We start from the raw sequence: 13,062 nt of genomic DNA, 5'->3' as shown, positions 1-13,062 counted from the left end.
AAAACCTTCCATTGTCTTCTTCCCACTGCATTACAGATAAACTTCAGACTGCTTACAATGCCCAACAGTACCCGATGTGGCATGGTCCCTGCCTGCCTCATCAGGACAGAGCACATAACTTTTCCTTTCTCATTAATTCCAATCCTAATAGGCCAATGACTTTCTCCTCTTGAACATGCCAGCCTCACTCCTGCCTTAGAGAACTTGAGCTTGCTGCTCCCACTTCCTGGAAAGGTCTCTCTAGATTTTTCTCTTAATGCTTTCTTCTTATCAGTCAGTCTCAACTCATGTATCACCTCAAAGAAGCTTTTCCTAAGCCCTCAGCCACTCTACCAGATCACATGGTATTGTTCCCATCAAAGAACTTACCATGCACCATTTATTTATTTGCTTATTGTCTACCTCTCCCACCCCACCAAGCCTGAGGTTTGACCCAGACTTTCTCTATCTGCATTTCCTATCTCAACCTAGAAACATGGATCCTGCCCTCCCTCACTCTCAAACCCACCAATCGACAAATGCCACTAAAGCTGCCACTGCCAGCCAGCCAGCCTCTACCTGCACTCTCATTTATTGCCTGGAACTTTCCCCAAAAGTTTCCTCCAAAGCTCCCCTTAGCCACTCCTGCTTCCATCCAATCTATTCTCAAACAGTAGTTGAATTATTTTTGAAATGCAAATATCACCACTTCCCAATGGAAAGCCTTTCAGTGGCTTCCCATTGCACTTAGAATCACCTTCATAAACCTTACCAGGACTTACCTCAGTAAGATCAGGCCCTTCCCAGCCTCTCCAACTTTGCCTCTGACAACTCTCCCCTTCATTCTCCAAGCTCCAACTACACTGTTAAAGGCCATACTGTTTTTCAAATGTATGAGCCTCCTTCCCAACCCACATCCTCACACATGATTTTATGCAAAACCACTGCTGTCCCCCCACTTGACCTAGTTCCCTCCCCTTCAACCAAACCAGGTTTTAAGTTAAACCAGGTTTAACTTAAAACGGATGCCTATCCCACAGGGCAGCATTTTCTGACCTCAAATATGTGTGAGGCTGCACTCCTTTCAGGGTAAGCATCAGTAAGCTGTGTAAAGATTAGGAGCATGGTTGATTCTCAATGAATTCTTACTGAGTGAAAGAATGAATGAATATATAAGCCAATGAAATAAGAAGCAATCATCCCTCCTTGGCCTCCCAAAGTGCTGGGATTACAGGCATGAGCCACTGCACCCACCCTTGGAATTGTATACTGTTCTTTAATATGCATTCAAGGAGTTTCAGACCAGCCTAGGCAAGATGGCCAGACTCTGTCTCTATAAAAAATAATTAGCCAGATGTAGTGGTGCCCACCTGTGGTCCCAGTTGCTCTGGAGGCTAAGGTGGGAGGATCCCTTGAACCCAGGAGGTCAAAGCTACAGTGAGCCATGTTTGTACCATGGCACTCTAGCCTGGGCAACAGATCGAGAGCCTGTCTCAAAGAAAAAGAAAGAAAAAAGAAAATCTATTCCAAGCTTTATCCACAAAGCTTTATCTTTAAATGCTGGTGCTGGTCATAGTTTCTTTGTTAGATTCTCTCATTTAAAAACAAACAAACATATATATATATATACACTGGCCGGGCGCGGTGGCTCACGCCTGTAATCCTAACACTTTGGGAGTCCGAGGCAGACAGATCACCTGAGGTTGGGAGTTCGAGACCAGCCTGACCAACATGGAGAAACCCTGTCTCTACTAAAAATACAAAATTAGCCAGGCATGGTGGCGCATGCCTGTAATCCCAGCTACTCGGGTGGCTGAGGCAGGAGAAGCACTTGAACCCAGGAGGCAGAGGTTGCAGTAAGCCAAGATCGCACCATCGCATTCTAGCCTGGGCAACAAGAGCAAAACTCTGTCTCAAAAAAAAAATAAATAAAATACTGTTTGTTTAAAGCATGCATAAAAATGTATGTCTTAAAATATACTTAAAAATTCCAAGATGCTTCTGATTTGTGTAATATTTACCTGGAGGACTCATACTTAGGTGTCTTAACATGAATTGAGTCTCCAAGGTCTCCATGTGAAACAAAAGAAGGGAAAATAATTATCTGTAATGTTGTAAGTTGTACCTAAGTTTTTTAATAAGTGAAATTTGCATTATAAATTTTTTCCATTTATAAATACATAAGTGAACCAAAGGTTTTGGTCCTTTCCTTCACTGGTTTGCTTTAAAATAAATAAATAAATAAAAGATAATTATTTATTGCAGAACAACAACAACAAAAAAGTCTTTGTCTACAAAAATGGCCCTTGATCTGCAGGTAAAGACTCTGAGCCTCTGACATATGTCAGGAGGACCCTTTTCAGGAAACTACTTGCCAGCTGGCAGAAAACCTAAGCCTCTCTGAGTATGTAGTACTTTCAAGTTTATTAAAGTACAAGGTGTAACCACACACAGCATTTTGACCAATTTTCCTGAGTTGGTAAGGAAAATGAGAGACCAGTGATCCAAAGCAACCAATAATTAGTTCCGAGGGCGCTTTGGACATTTAGAACATGTTATATTCAGAACATAAAACTTTAGAAAGCAAACATGAAAACTATTTGGTAAATGATGCAAATTGAGACACCATACAAATTCAGCAGTCCCACTTTCTACCTTCTAGACAAAGTTTGTCCACCATCATAAAAAACTTTGTACGTACATTTTATTTCTCTACCCTGAGGACAGAGCAGGTTCCATACTCTAAAGCTACTTGGCCTCAAACACAAGTGATTTAGTGGCAAAGCAAACATTTCAGATGAAAACCTGAAAGGGCAGAGGTACATGTCAATGGAAGAGTGAAACTGGAAAAAAGTTCTGATTGTCGGATTTCTCTGAACAGCAGGGCTATACAGGGCATCTAAACTCTACAGCTCAGTAACCATGAGAACATGAAGAAAAATTGCACTTGCCTGATAACTTAGCTCTGTCCTGCCTAGGCGACTCAGAAACCAAATTATTTTCACGTGAATAGTATTGATTGAGTCATATAATTCACTTTCATCTCATGGTAAAGTTGGGTGTTAGTAATATTTAATCATATTAAACTTGAAGCTTATTATGCTTTGTTCTTTAACCAAAGGATTAAAAAAAGTAGAGCATTTTTTAATCCAGATCCTGCACAGAGTATTATTAGTGAATACAATTATAAGGAAAAAGGAGTAGAAACAACTCAATGAATGCTTTATTGTGTTATGATTTACCAATAAACTGAATAACAGATTTTTATTTTATACCTGTAAATATAGAGATAAAGTAGAGTTTAGAAGAGTTTGTCTTTTTTTTTTTCCTCAGTGAAACTTTGCCATTTACCTATTTAAATATTACCTATTTAATGTGGTCTTTACATATTAGTGGATATTTGTATCTGGATGAAATATGACCACATTTGGACTAAGACAAATGTTTCTTTCTCTCTCTTCTCACTGGCCTTTCAGTAGATAGAAACAATTTGTAATTTGATATCAGACAGATCTAGATTTAAACCTGTCTCAATGCTTCCTAGCTGGATAAATTACTTAATCTCTCCAGCAACCAGTTTACTTATGTCTAAAATGGGAACATATAACCCTAAGCTCTCAGGGTTGGTTTAACGCTTAGGAGGGCAACATCTGAAGCTCTCATATTCATAAACTCTCATATTGAATGAATAAAGCAGTTTCAGACACTAAGATACCTAATTGGCTCAGGATCTATTTGGAATCAGTAAAGTTGTCTCTGTACCCCTTAAATTCCACCATGTGGGAAAACTGTGAATCACAGATATGTCTTATGGCTTACCTCTGCAGCATAGCTCACTCCATCTACTATGTGCTCGGAGCCGTGGTCATCAGCGGACCCCCAGTGAAGGTGAACCTGCCGTAACCTGTAGCTTCCAGTGAGAGGACCACCACGCAGAACTAAACAACAACATGTTTTATATTGTTAGCAAGGAAAAAATATTTACATAAGCTGCTCAAACCACAACATCTCCCTGAATTACTCCATACATCCATGTCCTCCAAGGAATTTTTTACAAATGTGTCATTTGCTTTGCTGACAAGAATACCACTTTTAAATATGTGTAGATTGAAAATAGAACATTTTTAAAAGCTTAAAGCATCCACAATACAGATTTTTATGGAACACCTGGGAAATCGTAACAGACATACTGGTTAGAAAGGCATAGAAATTAGGACTTCTGAAAGGTAAGGAATGGTTGTGTTTACCTGAGGATAAGTCAGCCTGTCTGAATAAGGATGTGACATGCAGACAGGTCCAGTTTGAGCTTGGTAGAGCAGTGCAGCATTGTGGTTTGAGCACAGGCTTCAGCAGTTAGAAGGCCTACACTCATGCTGTCTTTTCCTAATTATGTGATCTTGAACAAACTCTAACTTCTTTTTTTTTTTTCCTTGAGACAAGGTCTCGCCCTGTTGCCTAAGCTGATGCAATCACGGCTCACTGCAACCTCTAACTTCTGGGTTCAAGTCATCCTCCCACTTTAGCCTCCCAAGTAGCTAGAACTACAGGTATGCACCACTACACTCAGCCCTTTTTTTTTTTTTTTTTTTTTTTTTTTTTGTAGAGACAGGGCCTCACTATGTTATCCAGGCTGGTCTCAAACTCCTGGCCTCAAGCGATCCTCCCAAAGTGCTAGGATTACAGGCATGAGCTACCACACCTGGCAACAAACCCTAACTTCTAAGCTTTATCTTCCAAGTGTAAAAACAAGATAGTAATGGGACCTCCTCCTAATGCTGTCATTAAAACAGAAGAAAAATTGAACACAAAGCACTTATTACTACCTGACACACAGTCAACACAATCAACACAGTTTTTTACTGTAAAAACAGGCAAAGCAAGCATACCTTTTGTCCTTAAATTCTATATTCTTGGGGAAATGTGAAATATAGGACAAAAATAATTTTTCAAAAATCTGTCATATCTTTGTCACTTTGACAAAGTACATTTGAGTAATTTCCTCAGTAAATATGATCTCTAAAACTATGACAATAAATCATATCTTAAGTATATAGAAAAGCTTCTTAATAGAAAACATAGTCCTAAATTGTCTCATCCTAATTAATCTTTATTGGGCATGTTTAAAGCATATGGGAGAATCAGGAAGCGTTGGAAGCTAAATATACCATAAGCGTTATTAAATTTCCATGAACAGGCCTGGCATGGTGGCTCACACCTGTAATCCCAGTAATTTGGGAAGCCAAGGAGGGAGGATCGCTTGAGCCCAGGAGTTCAAGACCAGCCTGGGCAACATAGCAAGGCCCCATCTTATTATTTAAATATAAATTTATATTTATATAAATTTAATATGTATATATTTAATATAAGTATATTTTATATATTTGATATTTAATATCTGTATACAGAGATATTATATATATATTTTTTGGCTGGGTGTGGTGGTTCACACCAGTAATCCCAGCACTTTGGGAGGCTGAGGCAGGTGGATCACTTGAGGTCAGGAGTTTGAGACCAGCCTGGCCAACACAATGAAACCCTGTCTCTACAAAAAGAAAAAAAAAAAAATACAAAAATTAGCCAAAAGTGCTCACTTGAACCCAGAAAGCAGAGGTTGCAGTGTTTTGGGGTTTGTTCGTTTTTGTTTTTTTTTTTTGAGACAAGGTCTCTGCTGCCCAGGCTGGAGTACAGTGGGGCTCAAACTTGCAGCCTCAATTAATCCTCCCACATCAGCCTCCCTAGCGGCTGGGGCTGGGACTACGGGCGCACACAGCTACGTCCAGCTAGTTGTATTTTTTTTTTTTGCAGGGATGGGGTTTCATCATATTGCCTAGGCTGGTCTCAAACTCCTGGTCTGAAGTGATCCTCCTGCCTCAGCCTCACAAACTGCTGGGATTACAGGTGTGAGCCACCACACCAGCCTTAAATTTGACTTTTTAAAAATTGTTGGTAATTTGCTAACCCTGGCCATTTTCCTAAACTACACTGTAGTCAGCTGTCTTGAATGACAAGCAAGCTGGCAACAGGATCTGTTTGCTCACGCATTTACTCTCTGCTAATTAGGATACAAATTCCTTTAAGGCAGAAACTGTTTTGGTCCCCTGTATCTCCAGTGCCCAGAGAGTACTTGAATCAATTAATATTACCAAGATAAAATAAGAGACCTCACCTGTTAAAGCACTCTTCCACAAACTTTAGTTTGTAGGGATGCTACTGAAGTTACCGGGAATCACTAAAAACTAAGTTCTTAGGACTAGTGAACCTGAGAATAATCACTTTATGGTAAACTTGTTCTCTGAAGTAAAGATACATGAACAGCACATCTGCAATTTGCTTGGAATCTAGAGAAACAAGAGCCAAGAGCACAAATCTGCCAGGATTATACCAAGACAAAGACAGAGAGGGAGAGAGAGAGAGAAACCAAAGGACACAGATGTTCCCACTCAGTAGGACCTTGTATTATTTAGGAAGCCAGAAGAACCTTCATTAAATCTGGCTTATTTTACTCAGAGCATATACACACCAAGCTACTCTCTCATTCAACAATCATTAAGAGCTTACGATGGGCTAGCAATTATTCAATACTAAATATGCAATGATAAACAAGTTTGTCCTTATCCTTAAGAAACTTAGTCTAGTGAAGGAAACAAATAATCATAATAGAGCTTTATATAATTGTCACATTGTCATAGGTTACCAATTCATTTCCTAGCTATCTTGGCTCCTGGGGGGATTATACACCTATGGTATGTCCACCTACTAAATCTTTTTCTGTTTGTTGTTTGTTTTTGTTTTTGTTTTAAGAATATATAGTGTAAGATCTTGTGAATAATTTGTTTGACTTCAGGCAGTTACCTAGAACTAGATAATGGAAGCATAACTGAGAAATTGGCATTTTCTAGAGATGAAAATTAAAGAACGATCACTGAATTCATCAAGTTACTGCTCTTCCTAGCAGGACTTTCTTAATCAGAAGACAACTTTCTTTTTGATATCTTTTTAAAATTTCAGCACACATATTTTATCCACAAAAAGAACACACACCATTATTGTTAGTAGTAGTAGTTACTAATTGTTATTGAGCGCCTACTATAATCCAAGAACTATTTCATTTATAAAATACAAAAATTAGTACCACAAATTTTTTAAAAATAAAGGTTCCAGCAATGAATAATGTTTAACTATTTAAGTGTTAAACGGCAAATATTAATTGATTTCTGGTGGTTTGTAATTTTATCGAGAGTTAATCTATGTATGCTAAGGCATCCCAATGCTATGTCATGGTATTTTCCATGTCTTTCCGTCATACAAGTTTTTTTTTTTTTTTTGTAACTTAAACACACATGTATTGAGCACCTACCATGTGCCAGGCACCATGCTAGGTAGGTAAGTAAGACATAGTTGTTGCTCATAGAGAGCTTTAGCTAAATGGAAAGACAGAGAAGCCAACTAGCAGTTACAACATAATGTGGAGAGTTCTGTGTTAGGAAAATTCCAGAATGCCCTGGGAGCCACAGCAAGGGTGGTAGGGCCTCAGGTGAGGTTCCCAAAGCAGCGAGATACTGTTTGAGTCCAGAAAGACCAGGAGCTCAGGTGAGAACAGCCTTGTCTTTCTTCTTCAAACTACTATTTCCCCTGTATATTACAGCCAATTGGAAGTCTTCCTAAAGAATTTCATGAGCCAGGCATGGCACAGTGACTCATGCCTATAATCCCAGCACTTTGGGAGGCCAAGGCGGGTGGATTACTTGAGGCCAGGAGTTCGAGATCAGCTTGACCAACATGGCGAAACCCTGTCTCTACTAAAAACGCCAGGAGTTCGAGACCAGCTTGACCAACATGGCAAAACCCTGTCTCTACTAAAAATGCCAGGAGTTCCAGACCAGCTTGACCAACATGGCGAAACCCTGTCTCTACTAAAAATACAAAAAATTAGTTGGGCATGGTGACGTGCGCCTGTAATCCCAGCTACTCAGGAGGCTGAGGTGGAAGAATCACTTGAACCCAGGAGGCAGAGGTTGTAGTGAGCTGAGATTGCACCACTGCACTCTAGCCTGGGTGACAGAGTGAGATCTTGTCTTAAAAAAAAAAAAAAAAATTCATGAGCTAGGCATGGTAGTGTGCAACCAAGTGGGGAGAAGCACTTGAGCCCAGGAGTTCCGGGCTTCAATGAGTTATGGCTGGGCAGCTGCATTCCAGCCTGAGAACAAAGAAAGTCAAGAAAAGAAAGAAAGAATGAGAGAGAGAGAGAAGAAGAAGGAGGAGGAAGGAAGGGAAAAATTTCACATCCACCTCCTCCCTTTTACTCCCTTTTGAAAGGATTTTTGGGTAGTTCTCTAAAGGTTTAACTATGGAGCATGGATGTGTCCAGCCAAACACGCCCTCCAAGAACTATGAGGAAGATTTCATGCCTGTGGTTTATTGACATGCCTGAGGTGGGATTCAGGGTTAATCCTGGTCAAAAATGGCTTCTTTACAAAATGGAAACTGTTTTATTCAAATTAATGTGGTTTGCTACAGAAAGTATCTTTGTGTTTTTTATAGTTTACCAAAAATAAAAAAAAAACAAAACCAAAAAAAAAAAAAAAACTTGTTTAACTATGGTGGTTTCTTCTTTTTAATTGATTTAATCTCCCAAATCACCATGAAACAATCTCTTTTGGTTTATCTTGAGAAAAAAAGAATAAGAATCATGACCCATATTTACATAGCTACTGTTTCAGAGGACTACAAAGTACTTTATGGATATTTTCAATTAATCCTGGTAATTTTATTGTGAACTAGATAGGAAAAGGATCTTCATTTAAAAGAAAGAGCACACACTACTGATGACTAAGTGTCAAATCTGGAAACATAAATTGATTTCACTGATTAACCCGAAGTAGAAGGAAAATGAAAGGAAGAGAAAAACAGAAGAGAGAGAGAGAGAAACCTGGGTTCTCATAGAGCAAATTAGAGTAGAAAATTTTTACACTATGAATGTCTACATTTATAAAAAATATACTTAAAGTTTTAGATGAAGTAAAATATAATCATTTCTCATTCTAAAATGAGGAATGGGTAGCTTTACTTTTTTTTTTTTTTGAGATGGAATCTTGCTCTGTTGCCCAGGCTGGAGTGCAGTGGCATGATCTTGGCTCACTGCAACCTGCGCCTCCTGGGTTCAAGCCATTCTCCTACCTCAGCCTCCTGAGTAGCTGGGATTACAGGTGTGTGTCACCACTCCTGGCTAATTTTTGTATTTTAATAGAGACAGGGTTTCAGCATGTTGGCCAGGCTGGTCTCAAAATCTTGACCTCAGGTGATCTGCCCACCTCGGCCTCCCAAAGTGCTGGGATTACAGATGTGAGCCACCACACCCGGCCTTATTTTTTTATTTATTTATCTTTTTATTTTCTGAGACAGCTTACTTTTTAAATGTTTGACATATTGTAAACAGTAACAAACTACACTTATGTGGTATAAACTTTGTATTTAGAAGACTTGGACACTTTTACAATATATCTATTACATTAACCGCAAGAGATGGGGTCTCCCTATGTTGCCCAGCTGCCCTCAAACTCCTGGGCCTAACTAATCATCCTCCTTCCCCAGTAGCGGGGTCTACCAGTGTGTGTCAGCATGCCTGGCTTAACCACTTTTATTAACATAGATTCACAAAACTGAGGGGTTGAAAGAAATATAGTTGAACATGTATATAAAAGGCCAGGTCCCTCCTTACTTGGCATTTCCTCCGAAAAGTTGAAAATACCATGTATTTATTTGTCTTTATGCATTTTTTACAATGCTTTGATGAAAATGTACTACTTAGGCCAGTGTGGTGGCTCCCAGCACTTTGGGAGACCGAGGCGGGCAGATCCCTTGAGCCCAGTAGTTCAAGATCAGCCTGGGCAATATGGCAAAACCTTTTCTCTATGAAAAATACAAAAATTAGCTGGGCATGGGAGCACATGCCTGTGGTCCCAGCTACTCAGGAGGCTGAGGCAGGAGGATTGCTTGAGCCCAGGAGGTCAAGGCTGCAGTGAGCCATGATTGCACCACTGCACTCCAGCCTAGGCAATGGAGCGAGACCTTGTCTCAAAAAAATAAATAAATAAATAAATAAATAAGAAAAAAAGGCTGGGCGCAGTGGCTCACGCCTGTAATCCCAGCACTTTGGGAGGCCGAGGCGGGCGGATCACCTGAGGTCGGGAGTTCGAAACCAGCCTGATTAACATGGAGAAACCCTGTCTCTACTAAAAATACAAAATTAGCCAGGCATGGTGGCACATGCCTGTAATCCCAGCTACTTGGGAGGCGGAGGCAGGAGAATCGCTTGAACCCGGAAGGCAGAGGTTGCGGTGAGCCGAGACTGTGCCATTGCACTCCAGCCTGGGCAACAAGAGTGAAACTCTGTCTCAAAAAAAAAAAGAAAAGAAAAAAAAACTTACTACTTTTATGAATTTGACAAATATGAAGAAGAAATGTGGTTGGGCTTATAATTTTTGCTAACAATAAGGCTTTACATAAATACAAGATATTACTACTAATCTAAATCTGGGCTCAATTAATAAGTAAAAACTTTCTTTCAATTAAGGATTTTTAAAAATTAACTATATTTTTTCATTAATAGAGCAAATACAGCATCATCCTGATCTTAGATTAAAAATAAAAACAATCTGTCAGAGGCCCTAAAAAGTGTTTCCAAATATGATTCTCTCTAATATTTTATCTCATCTTACATTTAAACTTGATACCTTGGGCAGAATCTCTGCTTGGGCAGTAGATAGTCTGAAGAAGGATTAAACATTCACTTCAAGAAAATGTTTTTTCATCACTTATTTAATAAATTAACAAATAATCTATAAGTCCATTATTTATTCATGGTGTGAAAGACACTATCCCAAGAACTAATCATTAAACGAAATGATTACGTGTTCTAGAAAAAAGTACTAATAGGGAATATACAGTAAAAAAGTTTCATATATTTATTTTTTTAAAAAAATTAAACTTCTACTTTCCCTCCCTTCAATGTCCATTGTTAGGAGAATGGTACATAAATTACGATACAAGCATAGCTAATACAATTCAACTTTTAAAATTATTTTACTTTTATTTTTATCTTTTGAGACAGGATCTTGCTCTGTCACCCAGGCTGAGTACAGTGGCACTATCATGGCTCATTGCAGCCTTGACCTCCTGAAGTCAAGCAATCCTCCTGCCTCAGCCTCCAGAGTAGCTGGGAGTAAAGGCACACCCCACCATGCCTGATTAATTTTTTATTTTTTGTAGAGATAAGTTCTCACTATGTTGCCCAAGCTGGTCTTGAACTCCTAGACATAAGCAATCCTCCCACCTCAGCCTCCCAAAGTGCTGGGATTATACATGTGAGCCACCACACCCGGCTGCAGTTTAGCTTTTTAAACAAGATATATTTTAATCTGGAAAGATGTCTATAAAATATTTTTAAACAAGAAAAAAATTCAGAGTTATATAGCATTATTCCAAATGTATTTTTAATAAGAAAATGCAAAACAAGGATGATACACATGTATGTATACATAACTAAGCACCGAAATATTATGGAAGAAATAACATTAGTTACTTCAGGAGAGACTGTGGGAAGAAAGAGACATTAATATTTGTTATATGTTTCCATATTGTTTCATTTACTATGAGTGGATATTACTTTGGCAATTAAAATAAGAGAATAAGTTTTTTTTAAACTAAACTTTTTCTATTAAAGCAGGTACTTAAATGGCATTATAGGTTTGCAAATAATGCTAAAATAATTACGGCTAAAACTTTGCAGAAACAAATCATGAAATATCTATAAAAACTATTAAACTTTAATATTTTTATAATGGTAAATGCTAAGTGAAGTTATAATAACAAGCTAAGGTCAATTTTAAATTATCATGCAACATATCCTTTTCCAAATACTCTTTATTATTTTAAGGTAAGATTATCTGAAGGTTCAAATATATAACAAGATATCTTAATTCACACGAAGAAAAATATGCTTCAATTTGACAAATTCCAGGTCTAGCAAAAACAAAACATGAAAGATTAGAGAGTGTATTCTGGGTGCGGTGGCTCACGCCTGTAATCCCAGCACTTTGGGAGGCCGAGGCAGGCGGATCACGAGGTCAGGAGATCAAGACCATCCTGGCCAACATGGTGAAACCCTGTCTCTACTAAAAATACAAAAAAAGTAGCTGGGTATAGTGGCGTGCGCCTGTAATCCCAGTTACTCGGGAGGCTGAGGCAGGAGAATCTCTTGAACTTAGGAGGCGGAGGTTGCAATAAGCCAAGATCGCGCCACTACACTTCAGCCTGGCGACAGAGCGAGACTCTGTCTCAAAAAAAAAAAAAAAAAAAGAGTATAGTCTAATCATTCAAACCCTTCATCCACCACCACACACACAAAAAAAGAAAAGCCAACCTGATTTGTTCTCTGTGTCATCAAAGTCAACATTGAAGGAATGGCCGCTGTTGCTGATGATTTTAGCTGAGCTTGGGTCATACTTGATACTAAGTGGTCGGAGGGAAGAGTCATATTTCACTTCTTTGGTTTTAATCTCAATTGGAGATTGCTGATCACCATCAGCAATAGGGAAAAATTCCTTCCAGTGAATAGGACCTTAAATATATAGGACCAAAAGAAAAGGATTAAATAAGTTCTTTCTTTCAACAAACATACATTGAGTATAACACACTGTGCTTGAAATTGAAGAAAACGCAAAGATTAATAAAATGAGATTCTCGTCCTCAGGACCTTGGCATCTAATTGTTTTTTTTTACAAGATTAGTTGTTTTTATTATAGATGTGGGAAACTCTTGGTGTGCCTTAAGTCATGTTCAGAATTAAAGTAACCCTTGTAGACAAGAGTCTGTAAATTTTATAAAATACTCTCCAAAGGTAACCTTCTACCAAACTAAAAACAATAATACAACTCATCATTGAAAACAATGACATTCAGTCTCAGCTCCAAAAATGAGCTATTGCTCCAGAGTTCAAGTTTGCAGATTGGAAGAGTCAAAAAAGCTGAGAAAGCCATGAAGCAAAGAAAGGGTGTCATTCTTAAAGATGCTGTGCTTACTTCT

At 38.6% G+C, this 13,062-nt stretch overlaps 1 protein-coding gene across 1 annotated transcript in view; it reads right to left on the bottom strand.

Annotated features, from left to right (window-relative positions):
- Positions 1-13,062, bottom strand: part of CA13 (carbonic anhydrase 13) — a 38,616-nt gene that overhangs the window by 20,736 nt on the left and 4,818 nt on the right. Inside the window, exons 2-3 of the mRNA NM_198584.3 lie at positions 12,401-12,598; positions 3,799-3,917 (exon numbers count right to left, since the gene is read on the bottom strand). Coding sequence (NP_940986.1) covers positions 3,799-3,917; positions 12,401-12,598 — 317 coding nt within the window. The remainder of the gene's footprint in view (positions 1-3,798; positions 3,918-12,400; positions 12,599-13,062) is intronic.

The sequence above is a fragment of the Homo sapiens genome, chromosome 8 (assembly GCF_000001405.40).
Source record: "Homo sapiens chromosome 8, GRCh38.p14 Primary Assembly".
In the NCBI taxonomy this organism is placed as follows: domain Eukaryota; kingdom Metazoa; phylum Chordata; class Mammalia; order Primates; family Hominidae; genus Homo; species Homo sapiens.
Note: the sequence above shows the minus strand (reverse complement) of the source record. Positions and strands in the feature narration are given on the sequence as shown.